The sequence below is a fragment of the Homo sapiens genome, chromosome 4 (genome assembly GCF_000001405.40).
Source record: "Homo sapiens chromosome 4, GRCh38.p14 Primary Assembly".
NCBI lineage: Eukaryota > Metazoa > Chordata > Mammalia > Primates > Hominidae > Homo > Homo sapiens.
The window spans coordinates 15,419,230-15,441,810 of NC_000004.12; the positions used below are offsets into that span (position 1 = coordinate 15,419,230).

At 38.9% G+C, this 22,581-nt stretch overlaps 1 protein-coding gene and 1 long non-coding RNA gene across 7 annotated transcripts in view; one reads left to right on the forward strand and one right to left on the reverse strand.

The window, feature by feature from the left end:
• The window catches only part of C1QTNF7-AS1 (C1QTNF7 antisense RNA 1), a 422,973-nt gene extending 414,288 nt beyond the window's left edge, over positions 1 to 8,685 (reverse strand). The window contains exon 1 of the long non-coding RNA NR_125911.1: positions 8,600 to 8,685. This is a non-coding gene — a long non-coding RNA (C1QTNF7 antisense RNA 1). The remainder of the gene's footprint in view (positions 1 to 8,599) is intronic.
• C1QTNF7 (C1q and TNF related 7) overlaps positions 1 to 22,581 on the forward strand; it is a 106,382-nt gene that overhangs the window by 79,444 nt on the left and 4,357 nt on the right. For 4 of the 6 annotated variants that reach the window (XM_011513772.2, XM_047449566.1, NM_001135170.2 and 1 more), the window contains one exon: positions 16,507 to 16,752. In XM_011513772.2, the coding sequence (XP_011512074.1) occupies positions 16,507 to 16,752 (246 nt within the window). Of the gene's footprint in view, positions 1 to 8,803; positions 8,878 to 10,082; positions 10,187 to 16,506; positions 16,753 to 22,581 lie in introns of those variants that run through there. The other 2 variants (XM_011513773.2, NM_031911.5) reach the window with 2 other exon arrangements.

The following is a 22,581-nucleotide window of genomic DNA, read 5'->3' on the forward strand; positions in this document are numbered from 1 at the left end:
TTTCTGGGAATCTATCCTAAGGAAATAATCCTAAATAGGGATAAAGGCTTATGCACAAAACTTTCAATGTAATCTCATTTATACTAGGAAAAAATAGAAACAGCTTAATTGTCCCCTAATAGGAGAGAAGGGGGTTAAATAAATTATTGTACAACTACTTGATGGATATCGTTTGGCCATTAATGGCTCCAAAACATAACAGGGGAAAAACACTTATGATATAATATTAGGTTAAAGAAAAAGCACACAGCAACAGTGTATAGGTACTATTACAAATCTTTGAACAGAAGACCTATGCATACACAGAGAGAACAAAAATAACAGAAAGAAAGAAACTAAAGTGGTAACAGTGGTATAGTTCTGAGAAATAGAACTAAATAAATAATGATTTACTCTTGTTTTCCTACCTTTTCCTCCTGATATTTCGTGAGCGTATATTTAAAATAAAATACAAATAGTTCCATAGGACAAGAATAGATAATATATGAGGTTAAAAAAATAGCATATGTATTTTGATCAAAAAGTGTATATACTATGAATAGGAAAAATATTAGAAGGAAATCACATACATATATGCACACACACACACAAACATACACACACACGGCCAAACAAAAACCAAACAAACCAAATCTGTGCCTAATCTTCTAGAATCCCACTATATTAGAATCCTTGCCAGTGGTGGGGTGGTTTTCTTACCTATCTTTGCCCAAGTGTGCTTCATTTTTGCTGCCTCCCATCCTTTCTCCAGATAGCAGTCCAAGAAATCTATCTATTAATAGGAGTCACATACGATTCTCATCACTGGCAAACTCTTCACTGGCTTCTTAATGCCCTGAAGATAAAGTCTAAGTTCCCCAAGAAAGCTTTAGCCTCAATATCCACAGCCTCCGCAACGGGCTCCACCCCCCATCCTTCTTCCTCCTCACTCTTCTCCAGCCTCCCCAGCTTTCTCACTCTCCAAGGTGCCTTGTTCTCTCTCAATGCCAGGCTTTCACTGAAACCATTAGCTCTCCATGAAAAAACTACTTATTCCATCCTGGCACTTATTTTCTCAGACACCTTACAGTCAACCTTCAGTTTTCAAGAAATTGCTTAGGAGTTCAGTCCCTAAGGAGAGTGTTTCTGATCACGTAGATGAGATTATCCTGAAAACACAGATCTAAAGTGCATCCAAAGACATGCATTTCCTAGTCCCAACAAGAACGTAAACTCTAAACACTATTGAAAGAAAAAGGAATGCCTCTAACTTAAATCTGCTCCTCCCTGCACCAACAGAAATCAACATTTTTTGAGTTTGAGTAGCACAAATGTGTCAGTCAACAAGATGCATTACTTCATCAAACTTTATAACAACCTTACTTCATTTGGATATTTTTAAAATTTCAATTTATAGAAGAGAACACTAAGGTTTCAGAGGGGTAATCCTCAGAGTCTTTTGCCCAAGGCAATTTGCCCAAGGTCACATGGCTGGACAATGATGACTTTGTCCTTCAAAGTCAGCAGTCTTACTCCACAAAGAAATGTCAGTGGGAAGGGAGAAGACATGAAGATTTCTGCTAGTTTAGACTCTAGGGTAACATTCCACTGCTTTGTCTTTTTTTTTTTTTTTTTTTTTTTTTTTTTACCAAACCTCAGTGCTCAGCTTTCCTCCCCAGCACACTGAGTCATTGTTGGATTTCCCAGCTCTCGCTCCAATGTGATGGAGTCTGCTGAGGACATTGTTTTGGCTGGAAGTGAATATGTATGCAAGAGGCACCACCTGCCGCTAAATCTTTGCCTTTGTTGGGTCTAATATAGCTCTTGACCCTGAACTTGGCTCATGTCCTCAGGCACCCTCCCCACAAAATGCCTCACATGTTTTTAGCAATAAACAAAGTAGAGAACATGGGCCCCCCATTATCCGGATAAACGTTTAGAAACACCAAAATGTTCAAATAGACCGAGATGACTGAAAAAAAAAGAGAGTTGAAGAGCTTTTTCTACTAAATAATAAATGTAAGGTATTAGCACAATATTGTTACAATCACCACTATTTTTATGCCTACATAATGTCACAAAGACACTCTCAACATTCTGTGGCTGGAGTGGTTTGCATCATTGAGTGGAGGCATTGCTTCCAGGTCTCTGGCCTTCGGATGGTTTTCAGGTGCAAACAAGAGGAGCATAGAGAACCCAGGATAGTCAATGGCACTTACCAAAGAACAGTAGCCAAAGGTCAATGGTAAGAGCAGCGGCAGCTATGTCAGCACTGTTCACCCACTTCATATTTACGGAGCACCCACGAAGTGCCAGGCAACAGGGACTCATTTTCTGGGGATTATTTCAATTAATTTTTACAACAATCCAAGGAGCCAAGTACTATCACTCTCCTCATCCTAAACCGAGAGCTTGGTTTGAAGGTCAGACAAATCTGGGTTTGAATGCCAAATCTATCACTCAGTAGCTGTGTGACCTTGGGCCAGTTCTCTCATTTAGAAACTTCAGTTTCCACACCTGTAATAAGGAGATAATAATACCTACTTCGCTAAGTGGTCAGGACTCACTGTAGGTAGCACATAGTAGATGGTTAATAAATATATAGATATAGATATTTAAAATTTGTGGTACAACCGTACAATGGAATACTATTCAGCAATGAAAGAAACATGCAACATGAATGACTCTCAAAAACATTATGTTAAGTGAAAGAACAGAGCCTCAAAAACCCACATATTGTAAGATTCTATTTATATGACACTCTGGAAAAGGCAAAATTACAGGACAGATATATGATCAGAGGTTGCAGGCAGCTGGGGTGGAGGAGACTGACTACAAAGGGACATAAGGGAACATTTTGGAGGGAATGGAAATGCTCTGTATCTCTTTTTTAGTGGTGGTTATACAATTGCATACATTGGCCAAAAATCACGAAACTATTAATACCAAAAGGGTAAATTTTACATTTTAATAATTATAATCTAATAAACCTGTTTTTTTTTAAAAAAAAAAAAAAGGATATTGCACAGATATGACAGCAAAGGAGCTTCTTAATCCAGATTCCTTGGGATTTGGCAGATTTTTTATCTCCAGTTCATTGACCTGAACATGCCTAGTTATTCTTTTCATATTTGCCTATCTGATAATTCATCCTATTTTCCCCAGGGCAGAATAAATCAAGAGGTGAGGAAGGAAAAGAGCTTACTTGGAAAATCCTTCCTCCTGAAGACCAAAGGATCAGGGAAAATGCATTCTCATCTAATATCTACCCTAACCTAACATTATTTCATCTAATATTATTTCCTGTCCATTCAATGCTAAATTTCCAAATAGCTCAGTGGGTACATGGAAATTCATTATCTACTTGATCTCTGTTTTTTAATATGTTTAAAACTTTCGATAATTTTTTTTTTTTAGAAAGGGTCTTGCTTTGTCACCTAGGCTGGAGTGCAGTGGTGCAAACATGGTTCACTGCAGCTTCAACATCTCGGGCTCAAGCCATCCTCCCACCTCAGCCTTCTGAGTAGATGTGCCTATACATGCACTCCAGCAATGGCTGGTTTTTTATTTCTTTTTTATGTATTTATTTATTTTTGTAGAGATGGGGTTTTGCCATATTGCCCAGGCTGGTCTCAAGCGATCTTCCCACCATAGCCCCCCAAAATGCTGGAATTACAGTTATGAGCCACCACGTCTGGCCAACTTTCTATAAGTTTTTAAGTTTTTTACGTTTTAAAATATGAGAAGTGATATTTTGGACAAGGTAAAGTATTATGATCTGGGATAATGCTATATTGTTAATTCACATTTATCCACAAGGATGGATATTTATGTAGATTAAAACACTGGATTGTCTTCTACATGTGAAGTAGAAACCAGGTATCAGTGAAGGCTGTAGAGCAAAGACTCTTTTGGCCACCCTGCAGGGACCTGAGTTCCAGTTCTGGTTTAGCATAAATAGGTTATTTGGGCAAGTCACTTCTTACTGAATCTGGCTTTTTATCTGTGAAACAGGAAACTCAAGCAGATAACCTCTGAGATCCCTTCTTCTCTAACAGTGTGAAATTCCCAGTGCAGTGTAAGAACTGTGAGTTGAGATCCTGTCTTCGCTTTCAAGCTGTATGTTCAGGGCCCAGCACAGTGCCTGGCACACACAGGGGTCAATGACATTTGTTCATTCCATGAGTCACTGAATTGCCTTTTTTAAATATGCAAACTCCTTTTCTCATAAGAACCCACCTCTTTCCCTGCAATGAAAGCAGATTCAGTTTAGAAACCAAACTGAGTCATTTCAGCTGGTTGAAGTCCGCTTGAAAAGCCAGGAAAGCGGCAGCAGGCACCACCTCTACCTGGTCAACAGCCTGGTTCATGAAATCCCACTCACAGCCCTTCTGAGGAACCTACTGACCCCAGGATAAGGACCAAAACCTCCCGTGGCCAACAGAGCCCCGCCTGGCCCAGGCACATCCTCCCTGCAGGCTTATGCCTGCCTTTGCTCTTTCCCACTGGCCTCCACTCAGCATCATCCTCTTCCACCTCAGGGCCTTTGCATATGACATTCTCTCAGCCTGGATGTGTTTTCCTGCCCTTCTGCCAGGTTCATGCCTACCGTTTCCCCCCCTTTTAGGTCAGATGTCATTCCTTTAGGCAAGTTCTCTCTTATTTAGGCAAGTTCTTTAGGCAAGATTCAACTGGGTTGTCCGGCTAAACACTCCACAATATCCTTTATTTTTTTCCTTCAAGCATTCTCCAAAACTTATTGAGTTTATCAAATGGTATTAACTGTCCTTAATATGAAATGAATAAAAAATAACCTCATTTTTCTTCCATCATTTGTTCTAGCCAAATTCTGTTGGATCTTTCTTCCCTGCCCTTTTATGACATCTCAGGCAAATTTCTTGGCTTTCTGGTAACTTCCAGTTACATGAACAATTTTATTAGTCAATTGTGACTCATTTTCAGATATTAAAAAGACAAATCTCAATCAAATTTTCTATTTTATATCCAATACAATACTTGTCCATCTCCATGGCTGTAGTTCAGGATATGCTGTACCCTTTCACTCTTCCCCCATCTCCTGCCACTTCCTTTCACTTTCAGCTCCTCTTGAGTCAGGTCAGAGAGTAGAATAATCAGGAAAAAAGTGACTGAATTATTCTTACTTAGTAAGTGCTACTTGTATGATCCTCTCCTGGCTCCAATGTCTGCTATGCACTCCAGGTAGCCAAATGCTGGCTCTTTCGGGGTGAAGGTGTTCCTTGGTTGATAGCTTGCAGTGCTCCCCCCACCAGCCTCAGATTCTGTACTCAGTGATACACCCAGTGACTTCTTAGTGGCCTCCCCCCACTAGGAGGACTCCTTGGCTCAGGAAGTCCCATCACGATGGCCCCACTCAGCTGCCTTCCTCAGTACCATCTCCCTCTTGGGGAGTGCATATATTCTTGCCTCTCTAACAGCTGCCCCTGCACTCCTCTCCCTTCTCCACAACTCTACCTTGATGCCTCTCTTCAACCACTAATCTTTTCTGAATTTCTAGCTTTCTTTTATGTGGACTGAAAATGGCTGATGGTCACTGTCAGATCCAGCTGGATTTTAACAAGTTCTAAGTCGATGTATGAGCATTGGTTGCCTATCATTCTCTGCTTTGTGTTCTCAGCTGAAATTCCAAGTGGATGGGAATTCCCAATTCATATCCTGTTAAGCACAGTTCTGTGATTATTTCATAAATATCTCTCTTCCTCACTAGATTTTGTCTCTACAAGGTCTCTTTGTTTGCTCTCTACTGAATACCCAGACCAAGCATTCAGCATCTGACATATAGTAGCAGCTAAATAAATAAGTGATGAAGTAATAAATAAAAGAACAGGATGAGACACAAAGAAGACCAGATTTGTATCACTACAACTCCCCGGTTTGTAAGGACAAGCAGATAAGGCATCATTTGAGCAAGAGTAGATAAGGCAAAGATTCCTAGAGCCTGGCTGCCCATTGGAATCACCCATAGAGCTTTTAAAAAATATTAATGCCTAACTTAATCTACTGATATGCTCATTCAGTAGATCTAGTTAAGAGCCAGTGAGCTAAAGTGCATGGCAGATCCAAATTACGTGCTAGAAGGGTTCAGGAGAAGACAGGGTTGTGCCTGCTTGAGAATATCAGGGAGACTTTCTGTAGAAAGTGATGCATACAGAAGATAAATGTGAACAGATGGAGAAAGAGGCATAGGGGAGACATGGTTGGTAATGGCTTGCAGCTACTGGAGATGATATAAGCAAGGCACTGAGGTTACAAAGAGAAGATTCAATTCCTAACAGAACCCAGGGCACCCATGGAGAGGAGGAGGAAGAAACAGAGGGTATGCAACTGCAAGTTGTTTGGATGCAAAAACATGGTCTTTTAAAGTTAGCAACAACCTAGGGAGGAAATATGGTAAGTAGTTAGGTGTGTCAATTGTGGATCAGACTGTCTAAATTACTCATCTGTAGAAGGAGGATAATACAATTACTCACCTCAAGAGGTTATGATGAGGATTAAAGAAAGTGATGCTTGTCATGTCTTAGCACGTTGTACATGCTCATTACATATCAGCTAGAACCTTCTTTTTAAAATACTTCTACCACCTAGAAAAATGGTGTGTGAGTGTGTGTGTATGTATGTGTGTAGTGGTGAGCAGAGCTGGCTTATACCTGCCAGCAAGTGCGAATTCTACAATTCTACATTCTATAACTTTCCAACTCTGCATTCAGTGAAGGTCAGATTGTTAGCTTGAAATTGACCATGGCGGGGGTATTCACTCCAAGAAAACTAACAAAAGCTACAAATCTGAACCTTCTTTTTGAGAGCTAGGTTAGCGGCAAACTGTTAGGTGCTCTGGGAACACTGATGGGATTGGAATGGAATGGAATGAATTCAGTTGAAAAGTAAATAAAGGATATGGGGTAAAAAAGAGCACAAGTTGAGAAAGGAAGATTATCTGCCTAGGAAAGACAAAATAAGACCCCGTCCTTGGGGTGAGTGGCAGGTAAAAATGGAATCTGACTTTTACTCTGAGCCAATACTTCCTTAAGCATATTTTTCTACCCATCACTTCACCACTGCTTCTAAGTGTGAAAATAACTGAGTGAAATAGACACTGACAAGCTTTATCAACATCTGAGGTTCTGAACACTCTCAGAGACATTTTCAAAGGTTCATTCTCTCTGGGAAAAAGAATGAGTTCAGAAAGACACAGATTACAATAAATTATCTGGGATGAAAATAATAAAGAAGAAAAAGAAGAAATTCAATTTTTATTGAAGAACAGAAAAAATACTGTAATACTTTAATGATACAAAAAACCTTATTTTATGTGGTAAGTAACATTAAAGAGAAATTAGAGAAGTTGTGAATGACACAGAAAAGAAAATATGAATATCCACAAATTGTATCAACACTTTAAGGCAGAAAAATAAGAATGCATCTATTCTTTTATTGGTCTACAAATTCATCCACTTCTGAGCTCCCTGGCAGAGACTGGGCTACTCCAAAGCAGACATAATGGAAAAAGCCCACTTAAGAAGTTATCACTTATAAACAAATAAATGAACATATTAAAAGGCTGTATCACCTGAAATTAAGCTTGTAAATGGGTGACATCAGACACCATCATTTGGTTCGAGAATATTAAGAACTATGAGAAACCCTGGAAATAATCAAGGACAACCATCTTATTTTGAAAGTGAGAAAACAGACACAGAGACTTTATCTGATTAAAATCTGACTCTAATTTAGCAATAAGTTATGACTAGCTTCTATGCTCAAGACATTGTTTTGACCATCCTATGATGGCATTAAGATTTTGGAAAGCCAACAAATTCAAAGGACCATTTCCTCCAGTGTGGAGAGTGGATCCCAAAGGCAAAATTAAGCTGGTCAGAACGGGGAGCCCAGCAATCTCGTTGGTCAAGTGTGTGGTCAACATCCACTTCACTAACTCTGGAAACATTCCTTTCAATTAGAGTTCTCATTGCTTGAGAAGAATGAGAGGAAAAGAAAGATAAAAACAAGATTTTTTTCAGTCGTCTAATTTCCATAAATGACATCATAAATTATATATTGCTGTTGCCAAGGAAATATAAGAAATACATAGCAGAAGGAAACAAAGAAATTGATTGCACCATAGACGACTAGTCATATGCTTTGGAGAATCATTCTGCCTTTTGAGATGTTATGATCAGTTCTTTACAGGCACAAAGACATATTAGTTTTCTAAAAATACCCAATCATTTATCCATTCAGCAAAGAACAAAGAAAACAAAATCAGTGCAATTCTCATAACCCTCTTTCTTTGCACAGCACATAGAATGAGGGGCTATTTTCCTGCCATATTTACCAAGAATAGGGACAGTGTTCATTATTCCACAAGACACCATCCTAGGTCCAGAATCTAAAGGCTCTACCTCCAAAACTCTCAAATATAAAATGGCTTTTTTCTCTAAGTTAACAACTAATTTCCAGTCAGTGAGTAATTTTTTTCCTGAAACATTCACTCAGTGGAAAACAAATGAAGAGGGAAAAAATTAAGTAAACAAATCTGAAAAAGAGGCCACAACACACAGAGATGGAGAAGCTCTAAACTTACCACTGAAGGAAAGCAGGCACTTAAAGTTTATCCCAAACAAAACTGTAATTTTAACTGGTCCCCGAGTTGAGCCTCACTCGATGAATGACTTCCAGGGCCTTTGGCTCTTTGGGACTAAACGAGAAAATTATTTTTAGCACAACTATTTGGAAATCTTTGAGAATTTGGATCTGTTATTCTGTCTGGTACCAAAGCAAGTTTTTCACTGAGCTCTCATGAAAGATCCTCAGTCTCTTGTGGATTTAGAATCCTGCAGCAGCCCACCATCTAAGAGCAAGGTATGGTGTTTACTCTTTTTTTTAGAATTTTGGCAAATGTAGATGCAATGGCCTGTTCTCGTGACGGGAGCTTTTTAGCTTATTAAACAGATGGCTCTGTAGGAAGAATCCATAAAACTGAAGACCTAGCTTCAAGTCTCTGGACTGACACTAGCTTTCTAACCATAGACAAGTTGCGGGACTTCTCAGGACCTTGGTTCCCCATCTAACCTACCACAAGATGGTTTTGGGGAGGACGATATGGGCTTAGCATTGCTCTCTAGGATATAAAATGTTTTGCAAATGTCAGGGTTTTTTTTAATCACTGTGCCATAAAGTAGTCAAAACTTTATCAATAATGAACTGTTGACAATAATAAATATTGATGAATTTTTTTTTCTTCATTGAGCCTCTACTGTAGACTAGTCTCTGTCCTAGAGTTTGCATTTTAGTGGGGAAACAAGCAAGTCAATAGATAGCCATAACACAGTGCAATTGTGTGGCCTTGCAGGGACTTGAGTAGTGCCAGGAGGAGAAGGAGGTTAATTCATGGCAAACAGGAAAAGCAGTTCTGCAGAGGAAAATTGGAGCCCCCAAAAGCAAAGAACTGGTGAACAACAACATAAAAGGAACTGAGGCATGAGCAGCTCAGGTCTCCATCCTGTCCCAATCACAGTGCCACTCCCAGTGCAACAAGAGAAACACAGAGCTTGCTGTTGTGAAATCTCCACCTCTGCAGGCCAAGAAAATGTCCCGTTTTGGCTTTTCCTGGTTACCTATTCTCTTCTTAATGATTTCCAGGCAAAGCACATTTTCAACTTGAATTAATTATCAAGTCCAGCCCTTTGTCATGAAGTAATATGTTATAGTTTCCCTCACATGATGTAGGGACAAACTCAAGTGTTTGAAGACAAAAGAACTCAGTACAAATTCTGGCTGCACCATTTCATGCCTGTGTGGACTTGAGCCCACAGAGTATCAATGTTCTTACTTATAAAGTGAAGGTAATAGCACTTACTTCATAACAAGTGGTGTGAGGATAAAGTAAAAGATGTCCTTAAAACACCTGGCACAGAAATAAGAATACTGGGCTCTCCCTGCATTCCAATTCATTTTTATTCAGTTTTTTTAATTATGGTAAAATATACATATCATAAAATTTACCATTTCAACCATTCTTATGTGTACGGTTCTGCAGCATTAAATACATTCATTTTGTTATGCAGTATCATCACCATCTCTCCAGGACTTCTTCGTCTTCCCAAACTGAAACTCTCTATACCCATGAAACCATAAATTCCCATTCCCCTCTTCCCTTCCTCCTCCAACAGTGAGTATTCTACTTTCAGTCTTGATGAATGTGACTACTCTAGGAACTTTGTGTAAGAGGAATCACACAATATTTGTCCTTTTGTGACTGGCTTATTTCACATAATATACTGTCTTCAGGGTTCCTCATGTTGTAGCATGTGTCAGTATCTCCTTTCCTTTTAAGGCTGAAGAAGATTCCATTGTACGTGTAGACCAGGTTTTGTTTATCCATTCACCTTTCCATGGACACTTGGGTTGCTTCCACCTTTTGCCTATTGTGAATAACGCTGCAGATATGGCTATGCAAATATCTGTTTGAGTCCTTGCTGCTACGAACATGCATGTGCAAATATTTGTTTGAGTCCCTGATTTTACTTCTTTTGGATATATGCCCCAAAGTGGAATTGCCATATCATATGGTAATTCTCTTTAATTTTTTTGAGGAATCACTATCCTGTTTTCCACAGGCGCTGCACCATTTTACATTCCCACCACCAACATATTTTATTTTTCCAAGAAAAAAATATACTTGGAGTCTACTTACACTGGGGAAAAAATAATATGCTATTTACAAAGGGATCTCAATCTATGAACATGTTTTCCAGGATTTCAATCTTTGTACTGAGTTAATCAGTATTTCTCCAAGTATTTTCCATGGCTAGTTTAGCGAGAACAAAGGGCTCCATGACTAAATAAATTCACAAAATACTATATACAACATTTCTGCCTCAAATATAAGCACATGAACATGGAGCCTCTTGAATCTAAACTAACACAAATTAAATTTTTTAAATGTGTTTTAAAAACAAAAACCTGTTACTTTGTAATCCCTACAGAAAAATAGGATGGAGGATTATTTATAATTAGCATCCAGGACAGACGTGTTCAAGATTAACAGTATTTCCAGGTTGGGCGTGGCAGCTCACTCTTGAAACCCCAGCACTTTGGGAGGGCGAGGTGGGCAGATCGCTTGAGTTTAGGAGTTCAAGACCAACCTGGGTAACTTGGTGAAACCTCATCTCTCTAAAAAATACAAAAGTTAGCCAGGTGTGGTGGCACACACTTGTAGTCCCAGCTACTCATGAATTCAATTCAATGTTTTAAAGCATATTGTATGTGGAGTGACAGCTAAGGGGTACAGGTTTCTTTTTGGAGTTTTAAAATAGTCTTTAATTGGATTGTGATGTACATTAAGTTGTACACTTTGGTAAATTTTATGGTGTGCAAATTATATCCTTATAAAGCTGTTAAAAATTATTGTAATGTTTATGAAATTGTGACCTACGTGATTTATTCCCAGTCAAAATAATCAAGTTCACTGCAAGGCAGTGGGGGAGTGGGTAAAGAGTGGATTATTCAATAAAAGGAGTTGAAAATATAAAGTTATATCCCTACCTCACACTTTTTATCAGAAACATTCTGATGGAACAAATTTTTAAATGTGAAAAAATGAAACAAAAAAATTGAAAGAAAAGCACAAGGATTCTTTTCAGGACCTTAAAGTGGTGAAGGCCTTCTAAACCCAATAAATTGAACCTCAAAAAATATTTTCATGGTAAAAATATTTTAAAATACATGAGGAAAGACAAAGGACAAACTGGGGGAAATTATTTGCTGCTCATGTCATAAGCCATTTGTAGATTAAGATAGATAGATGATAGATAGATAGATAGATAGATAGATAGATAGATAGATAGATAGATAGATAGATTCATTGCACCATTGCTTATAACAGCAAAAGAAAGAAAATAGTCCAAATACCCATCATAGGAAACTGGTTAAATATTACAAACACATCTATATGATGGATTTTTTTAGCCACTAAATAAAAAAGGACAAGACAGCTCTACACATATAGGTGTCAATACAGAAGCTATAAATACTCATATGGAAACTAAGTGAAAAGGCAACGTACAGAACATTGTATATGGGATGCCAACATGGGGAAGGAGGACACTCAAGAAACTCGCACAGGTGATCAGCTCTAGGGAGGGAACCTGGGTATCCAGAAGACTCAAAGGGAGGTGAAGAAATTGACTTATCGTTGCATACTCTTTTTTCTTTTGAATTTTATGAAATGTACATGTATTCCCTATATAAAAAATTAATTTTAAAATATTTTTAAACACCCTAGACTATGTCAAATTAAAACAACTCAAGTTTTGTATTTGTATTTCTCAAACACTGCAAAAAGGACACATAGGCTCCAGGGAGATTTCTTCAAACCCCACCTCCCTCTTTCTTGTGTAATATTCTCATATTTCATAATTTCTCACCAGTTTTTTTCCCCCACAAAGCTCAAACCTCCCCACAAAATTCTCCTCTTTCTCCAGCCATGTTTTTTGGGTTAAGCCCTGCTGTAAGTGGTTGGACACATCAATGACTTCAACAAAGATCCCTGCCCTCATGTAGCTTACATTCTATCAGGAAAAATATAGATATAAAATAAAGATAGGAATTAGCTACTGAGTTAGAAGTGAAAAGTACAATAAAGAATAGAAAAAATGTAGAGCAGATAAAAGGAAGGTCATGGGCAGAAGAAGGCAGATTGCAGTGTTAAGCACGGTGATAAGGGTTGAACTTAGTGACAAGATGCCATTTGAGCAACGATGTGAAGAGGGAGATGAAGAAGTAGCTATATAGACATCTTGGTGAAGAGGGATTTAGACAATGCGAAGAGACACGTGAGACCCTAAGGCAGGGCACACCTAGTGTCTTTGAGGAGCACCAAGGAATCCAGTGTGACTGGAGCTGACAATGTGAGGAGAATAGAAGATGAAGTCAGGGAAATAAGGAGGGCCTTGTAGACCATCGCACCATGTAACATGAAGCTTTGGGCCCTTAGGTGCAATGAAGAACCAAACAGCGTGATCCCACTGTGATTTTTCCATTATAATGCACACCCCGTGGTCTTCTTGCATCAACTGAATCCCAGTACTTGACTGACCAGTCACCATCGTGCCACTAGCATGCATCAGGCACCACAACACATTGTTCCTCAATTCTTTTTGTTTTTTGAGACAGGGTCTGGCTCTGTTGCTCAGGCTGGAGTGCAGCAACACAATCTCTGCTCACTGCAACTTCCACCTCCAGGGTTCAAGTGATTCTCCTGCCTCAGCCTCTCGAGTAGCTGGAATTACAGGTGCACGCCACCATGCAGGGCTACTTTTTGTATTTTTAGTAGAGATGGGTTTCACCATATTGGCCAGGCTAATCTTGAACTCTTGACTTCAAGTGATCCTCCAACCTTGGCCACCCAAAGTGCTGGGAATACAGGCGTGAGCCATCGTGCCCAGCCTGTTCCTCAATTCTGATAAGGATTTTTACGGAATAATCACTTTGAGTGCCTTTTTTAAAGTTTTAATTGGGAATGCTTGAAGCATTTAGACTCCTATACAGGCAGTAGTATTCTTCCGCACTTGTCATAAAAGCAATCTATTTATTCAATGAATAAATCTGTTTACATTGTTTTAATTTATTCCTTGAGTTCCTTTTTGCCTGGCTATTGGCAATACTGAATATCGTTTCTTCCAATCACATCTTTAAAATTTCTGCTTCCTTTGCCCACCATCAACTAGACCCTTACCACATTCTTCTTCACAGACTGTTCCTGTGACTATTGGCATAGTTAGGCTTTCACACCTGCATCACCATGTCTGAGAAGCCACTGTCCAAATCAACTTCTCTGCAGTTGCTTTCAGGTCCCTCCTGAAAGCAACTCTGGCCTCAGCCAATAGCCTTGCACCCCATGTCTAGTTAAAAGCCTCATTATGACTATCTTCTATGAACCTTTATTTTTTTGGTAGAGATGGGGTCTTGCTATGTTGCCCAGGCTCCTCTCAAATTCCTGGGCTCAAGTAATCCTTCCACCTCAGCCTCCCAATACACTGGGATTACAGACGTGAGCCACCACACCCAGCCTTTTTTTTCTGGGGAGGGGGGTGACTTTATTGCTGTCCTGCTCCATCACCACAGCAAAATGGGCCCTGCACGCTCCAGGCCTGCATCATGTATCACCACAGCAAAAACATGACCTACTTGAACACGTTCCCTCCCAGGATATGTATTAAAATTCTTTAAAGAAAACAGAATAGATTAATAACTTAAGTGATTAGGCACCAACAGCAATTTGAAAAATTAAATGTCCATTTTAAATGGTAACAAGACAAGAACTTAAGATTGGGTTTACTCTAGCCCATCTTCTCTTCCTGTCAAATAGCAACAATTCTGTGGGAAATGATTCTAAATTTCAACACACAAGTAGCAGACAAATAAGTGAGAACACATATCACCAGAAATCACAGGACAGCCTGAATCTCCAGGCGGCCTCCTCGGCAGGTAGCCCATCGTGATTCCAGGCCCCAAAGAGCTTGGCAAGTCCCAGAAAGGTGGCCCCCTGAGGAAGGGCTTTAAAGCTCCTGAGATCAGACTTGCTTCCCCCACATTTTAAAGATGAAGTCCCAGACAGGGCCACTTTCTCATTCCTTCTCAAAGCCTCCTCTAATCAGCCTTTCACAACGGAGAGAGAACTGCTAATTTAATCAATGCATCTTGTTCTTACTGTGGCAGGGGGTGTGAACAGAATGTTCTTTCCATATATTTTTTTTTCATCTGAAGCTCCTTTGGAAGGCCTGTATTGAATGCACTGGGCTTGTCAGAAAGTGCCTTAATTCCAGTTGAGCAATAGAATCAATAATTTTGGATTTGTGCTGTATGACAAGGGCATACAAAAATGTCTACCAGACAGGGCATGGCAAAAATGTTCTCCTTGCTTTTTTTTTTTCAACTAGTAACACCAAGATTTAGTCAAAGTTACAGAGCCTGAGTTCGGATAAGTTGCTTTGGTTTTTCACTAATAAGATTTCTAGGAATCAGCTTACTTCAAAATCACATGTGCACACTGTGTTTTTCTTAGTTTGTCATTCCTACGCTCTGGCAATTTTCTGGGTCTAATTCCAAGATGTTGCAATTTCCCCATGGGTACCACAAAAGTGGTGATGTGTGCCTGGTCAATTTTCTCACATGGCTGTCAAAAAACAAAAGAAATTTCATCTGATTGCTTTCCCCACATTTTGTGATGATTTCCTTTGGGAGAGTATACACCAGGTCAAGCACTATATAGATTTCTTGTTAAAGCATGGGTCCAACCATCCAAACACAACTCATTTGCATGACCCCAGAACCACCTGTATATGTTCTTCCCTTTAAAAAACTGCTAATACTAAGGACCATTTAGCCTAAAAAATCAGGTATCTCCAATCTATACCACTCTCCATCTCACCTTCAGCCTATATGCCAAAGTGCCATACTAATAAATGACTCATCATTCTGAGCTTCTAGGCTTTATGGGGGAGTCCTATTAGATCAGAATTGAAGAGACCTGCTGCCTGCTTCACTTGGGGCACAGGCACCATGCGTGGCTTAATTTCACACAGCTCTTTAATTGAGCCCCAGTGCTAACAGCTTAATGGGACACCACGACATTATATCCTGCAGATTTTAAATTAAAGTTTGAGACCTCCCCTCAGGACATGCACAGTACCCCAATTAACACTAATTGGCATTATACATGATTACCAAGTGAAAACCATGGTTTTCCTGAAAATGCCTCCTCTTTTCTCCAGCTTTAAATAGTCCATAAATTCTAAGAAAACAATCATGGGTGCATGCAAAGATTAGCTAGAATGATGTCTAGCATGATGTTCATATTGGGAGAACTTTGGAAGCAACCTAAATATCTATAATGGGGGTTCTGTACATAAAAGATAGTAGAGACAAAAGCAATTATTTTTTAATGTCACACATAATTTTGACATGAGAAGGTGTTCATGATACATTGTCAAGTGAAAGAAGTTAAGGAAGTGTAGAAATGGCATGGTATCACTTTCTCCATAGTATAGACAAAAGAGACTGGAAGGATATATATACTAAAATGTAAATCTCAAGGTGGTAAAAATAATGTTGATGTTTATCTTTTTCATTTCCAGGTCTAAATTTTTTTCTTTAAAAAATGCACTATGTTTGTAAAAAGAAAATGCCATTTTTAAATCCATCATTGATTTCTGAAGAATAAATGCAGTGATTTATTTTGAAATGTTTTTAACCAATTCTTCATCTGCACCAACTCCCGTGTAGGGCACTGAGGATTCTATATCAATAATGTGTTGATAATTTTCAATGGAATTATGAAGGTAAACAGTGTTTTACATGTCTGGAAAGACGAACACTGGAGTGATTTGTTGCAAATGCACATTCTCTTGTTCAAACTGATTCAATCATGCCAAACCACACCCCTCCCAACACAGAAAGTTCATTTACGTCTGTGTGTTTCTCTTCCAGAGCCAAAGATGTTTGTCTTGCTCTATGTTACAAGTTTTGCCATTTGTGCCAGTGGACAACCCCGGGGTAATCAGTTGAAAGGAGAGAACTACTCCCCCAGGTATATCTGCAGCATTCCTGGCTTGCCTGGACCTCCAGGGCCCCCTGGAGCAAATGGTTCCCCTGGGCCCCATGGTCGCATCGGCCTTCCAGGAAGAGATGGTAGAGACGGCAGGAAAGGAGAGAAAGGTGAAAAGGGAACTGCAGGTAATGAATGAGAAGTTGCATAAAACACCCTCCTTCACCCCCACCTTAAAACTGTTCCCCTTTCTTTGTTACTTTTTCTAATGGGAATTGCTCCTTAAACCCCTTCTGTACTTTCATTAATCGTAACTTACTGAGCCCTTACTAGGCTTCAGATGCTTCCCTAAACTCTGTAGCTGCATCCTTATTTCACTGCAATGACAACTCTTTCAGCTGAATGTTATCCCATCTTATAGATGAGAAAATTGAGCCACAGTGTGATTAAATGAATTACTGAGAATGGACCGGGGTGGATGTGCACTGCTAGTAGCTGCCAGAGCCAGACTCAAACATCTGATGTCCAGAAGTACTGGGCTATTGCAGCCAGCAGGCAATGGCTGGATGTGCAAGCGCATGGATGGACAGACAGAGAGATGGACAGAAGGGGAAATGGACAGATTAAGCAGAGGCAAAAACCAGGAGCCAGATGCATAGATGCCATCCTGCTCAGCATGAATATCCTGAACAAAGATACATAAAGGGCTTCTAAATTTTATTTTTCACAGATGAAGTGACAATAGCACTGTAAAGCCTACCTTTCCTAGCTCATCACTTTCCCACCTGACACATAGCAGCTAAAAAGCAGATTTTTACAGCTCTTTACAGCAACACAATTGCCCACTAGTCCTTCAGTAATTTTCACTTTGTTTCCTCGCAAAATAAGTTGGTCCGGGAAGCTTGCCAGATTCTGCAGTCCTTCAGGGTAAACCAAATTGAAATTCTAGACAGGCTGTGTTAACTCTAAAAGAGGAAGGGATTTGGAATCAATCTTTCAAGACAAGTTGCTGAGCATAAAAGTTGGGACAAAAGATAGGAAGGAAAAAATTCTATATAACTCCAATCATCACACCTGATTTACTGGAGTTCTGTAAAACAAAATCATAAAACATATTCAGATTATTGGATAATAATTCATTTCTGAATTTGCCATGCGGATAATATCTGGCAAATCAATTACCAAATCTATGAACATTGCACAATAATAGATAAAGAACCTTTAGGGAAAGCTTCAACATCAGATAAGAAGCTTTAATTTGGAGCTAAAATGTAAGTTTTTAAAGACATCCATAGGGTAACACCTGTGAATATAAGTTACAACTGAGTCATAATTATGAATATTCTTGAAATCCTATAATAACATCAGGATTATAGTTATATATTGCTTTTAGTTTACTGGGTCTGGAAGCAATAATGTAGTGGCTATACAAACAAACATTGGAGTCAGAAAGACTTTGGCTCAAATCTTAGCTCTTTCAGTTACTAATCTAGTATCCTTGGCCACATATGCTCTTAGAGGCTCAGTTTCCTTATTTGTAAGTTGGTGGTAATAAGGGTGATTGTTAAGTTTAAGGGAAAGAGTACATGCAAAACCTTCCACAGGATAACTGCCATGTGATAAAAACTCAGTAAATGTTATAACTTATTAAATTCTGATCTGCAAATATGAGTCACAGCTAAATTTGTGACTAGCAAAAGCCATATAATAAACTAGACATTGGTAATTCGTTTCATGAGGTAGTTCTAATATTAAAGACATATATGTGGATATGCATTCAGATTAAATTAAATGTTCAGAACTGCTACAGTTTTAACCATATATGAGGCTAACTATACCACCACATTCATAGATCCACTCATTCATCCATGCATCCAGGCATTATTCATTCAATAATATTTCTGTGCACCTATTACTATCTAATATTATTCTTCCAGTGTTTCTCAACCTCTGCACTAATGAGAATTTGGGTAGAATAATTATTTACCGTGGAGTGACTATTCTGTGCATTGCAGGATATTCAATAGCATTCCACTAGATGCTAGTGGCACTCCTCTCTAAATTGACAATCAAAATTTTTCTATACGTAGCCAGCTATCCACTGGGTAGAAAGGTGGACAGTGCAAAATTGCACCTGGTTGAGAACGCTGTTCTAGACACTGGGAACGCAAGCATAAGACATTGTTCTTGCCTTGATAAGCAGACATTCATGTGGGGGAGGCCAATATATACAGACATAATTAAAATACATCATCATAATAACCACTTACTAAGAACTTACTATTTGTCAGGACCTTTACATTTCATATTTAACATCTACTATAACCCTATTAGCAATAATTATAATCAGCAATAAAATTAATGTTACAAATGAAAACAAATTGAGATTCAAAAACCATCAAAAACAAAATGACTTTCCTAACCTGAGATTATTTAAATACAATATACACACATAGGATACATAACAGCTCAGAAAGAAAAGGTAGGAATGACTATATGATCGATGAAGAGAGGTGTACCTCACTTATAAACTAGAGGAACAGCCTGGGAGATTTGGGGATGTGTTTTTAATATGGCTGTAACTGGGCACAACCTGGCTGGGAGTGCCTGCTCCCTGTTTCCCCTTTAATGACACTACAAGTGCCTTCTCATTCACGTACTCTTGGTGAATACCCTCACCACATCCACCCCAACCAAGTCCAATCAAGCATAATTTTGGTCCAACTTCCCTATCCTAAATGAGAAATGCAGAGTTTATTACACAAAGTTATAAATTTTCTATTAAAGTATCTGTCTCCCTCACTGGTCTGTTGCAATTATTACTGTAGCATAATATTAACATTTAATTTAATCTGGGTACATATCCATATAAAAATCTTCAGATAACACTAGAATAACCTCTTGAAAAAGATCATTCATTCCAGTTTATCATATGGATGTAGGTATTCATGAACTTAACTTTGGCCCATATTTGCAGATCCAAGGTCATAAGTAATGACAGCTAATTTGAGGTTCGGGCATTACATGAGTAATGCCCAGGTTTCACTTAGCCCCTAGTCCATGACTGGTATGTAGCAGATGGTCAATTAATGTTAGATGGTTTACATGGACGCATGTATGTATGCATAGATCCACGGATAGATGGATGGAAGGATAGAATGAATGAATGGTTGGATGGAAGGAAGAAATGGCATGGAAGAAGAAATCTAGGTAGAACCATTTCATGGAGAACTATAAAGAAATCCTTTCTGATCTAGTTTCAATACCTAAACATAGACTAACTCTTACCCCCATAATCCTCCACTCTACCCAAGCATATGTCTGACTAAATAGGGAGAAGGACAATGACTCATCCCTTCTTTCCACTCTTAATGTGTGGAACCTAAGCATGTGAGCAAATTCTTCATACAAACAGGAAGAGTAACTATACATTATTACAGCTAGTCCATGATTATCTATCACCCAATTCAGCATCTCAAACAAACATTACTATAGAAAATCCAAACTTTCAGGCCGTGAAGGCCTTTTTGTGGACAGCATTGTAAAATTGCATCCCAGAATGTATGATTTGGTCTCAAGGAATTTTCAAGAGGGTGAGACCTCAAACAATCTAGTCCAACACTTTCGTTTCAAGGATTGGGAAACTAAAGCCAGAGAGATCAAGCCCTTTCTTAAAATTCACCTAACTAATCCATGGCTGAACTGGGGTTTTATCCCAGGTCTGTTTGCTGCTTTGCCCAGTAAGTTTGGATTGGACTTAGATCCAATCTCCCCTTATTACAAATGGAGCATTTAAAACCCAGAAAAGAAATGACTCGCCCAAAATTTAAATTTCAGTTTAGCTTAATAAAATTTCTCAAGAACAAATACATAGGTAAAGTAAAACACACAATTCATCAGCAATATATTTGCTCTGACTACAAAAGTGCACTACAGGTTACTAATAATTTGGATACTTTTTGAGGAAATATCATCATACAAGCACTATTTGTGAAATAGATTTGGCCATAAAATTGAATGATATCTTTCGATGGTATTAAATCATTGCTGTTATATATATAAAATCATTGCTTTTTTATATATATAACAATGCCTTATATGTAAAATGTCATATATAAATCAATGTCTTATATATAATCTATTTTATATATAAAACGTGAATGTCATATACAAAATCAATGTCTTATATAGATTTTATATGTATAAAATATTGTATATATAATGTGTTATATACATAAACTATTTAAATTTTAAACCATTTATATAAATTAAACTGATTTTGCTTATTTCCTTCAACCAGGATCACCATTTTTCTGTATTTAGCCTATAGTTGGTCTGCAGATATAAAGATTTAGACACACAGAAAATGTTCCTGTATGGTGATTTGGAATTTGTGAAAATTCTTTCACAGCAATTATGTCTTCTCTGTATATAAAGAGACTCAGAAAAATTAAGGGACTTACCTAAAATGATACAACCGTTTAGTGACAGAGCCAAACACTATTTAAGATTCTTGACTCCAACCCCAAAGGTAAAAGGCATTTTAATGAACCGGAAACATCATTCGACTAAGAAGGCTTGGATTCTAGTCCTAGCATTGGTACAGAAGCAACTTTTTTTTTTTTTTTTTTTGATACTGAGTCTTGCACTGCCGCCCGGGCTGATGTGCAGTGGCGCAATCTCGGCTCGCTGCAACCTCCGCCTCCCGGGTTCAAGCAATTCCCCTGCCTCAGCCTTCCGAGTAGCTGGGACTACAGGCGCGCACCACCACGTCCGGCTAATTTTTGTATTTTTAGTAGAGACGGGGCTTCACCGTGTTAACCAGGATGGTCTTGATCTGCGGACCTCGTTATCTGCCCGCCTCGGCCTCCCAAAGTGCTGGGATTACAGGCGTGAGTCACTGCACCCAGCCCAGAAGCAAGTTTTTTTTACCTGTCTGGGACTCAGTTTTCTCCTCACAAAATAAGCTACTGCATGGTGGTGGCAGTCATTGTTTTATGGTTATTGTAGCATGTTGAGCCCTCGCTATGTGCCAGATGCGCTTTCGAATTTATGCTCCTGCTGGCCGGGCATGGCGGCTCAGGACTCCCAAATCTCAGCACTTTGGGAGGCCGAGGCAGGCGGATCACCTGAGGTCAGGAGTTCGAGACCAGCCTGGCCAACATGGCAAAAGCCCCATCTCTACTAAAAATACAAAAATTAGCTGAATGTGGTGGTGCACACCTGTAATCCCAGCTACTCAGGAGGCTGAGGCAGGAGAATAGCTTGAACCTGGGAGGTGGAAGTTGCAATGAGCCAAGATCGCGCCATGACACTCCAGCCTGGGCAGCAGAGTGAGACTCTGTCTCAAAAAAGAAAAAAAAAGAATTTATGTTCCTGCCAAATGCTCTGGCTCCAGAGTCAGGCAGGCAGGCATGAGGTCAGACCACAGCTCCATCATTCACTAGTTCTCTTCTCTTCAGTAAAGTAACTCCTCTATGGCTCAGCTTCCTCATTTGCAATGAAAGTAATAATAATTCTGAGTTCATAAAGTCACTGTGAAACTTAAATAAGATAATGCATGCAAATAAAGCATTTAACATTGTCCCTGGAACATAGTAAATCCTTCATAAATATAAGCAAATCTAATTTTGATTAATTCTCTTATTATTATCACAAATAGAAATAGAATGAAGCCTCTAGGGATTTGCCTGGTTCTGTCTGCCCCTCTGGGCCCACTCTGAGAAATAATATCATCATGCTCATTGAAGGGTTCCTGTAGTGCCCAGTACCTATATGTGAATAATATAGTGGCAAGTGATCCATCATCAAAATGATAGTTAATTATGTTAAATTTGTCAGGATTTAAATTATTTCTTACATATTCAGGAAAATTGACTTAAATTCTGACGAAAATTTTCTATTTTTGTTGTTAGTGCACCAGTGATGTTTTAAAAGTTTATTATTGGCTGGGCGCGGTGGCTCATGCCTATAATCCCAGCACTTTGGGAGGCTGAGGTGGGTGAATCACAAGGTCA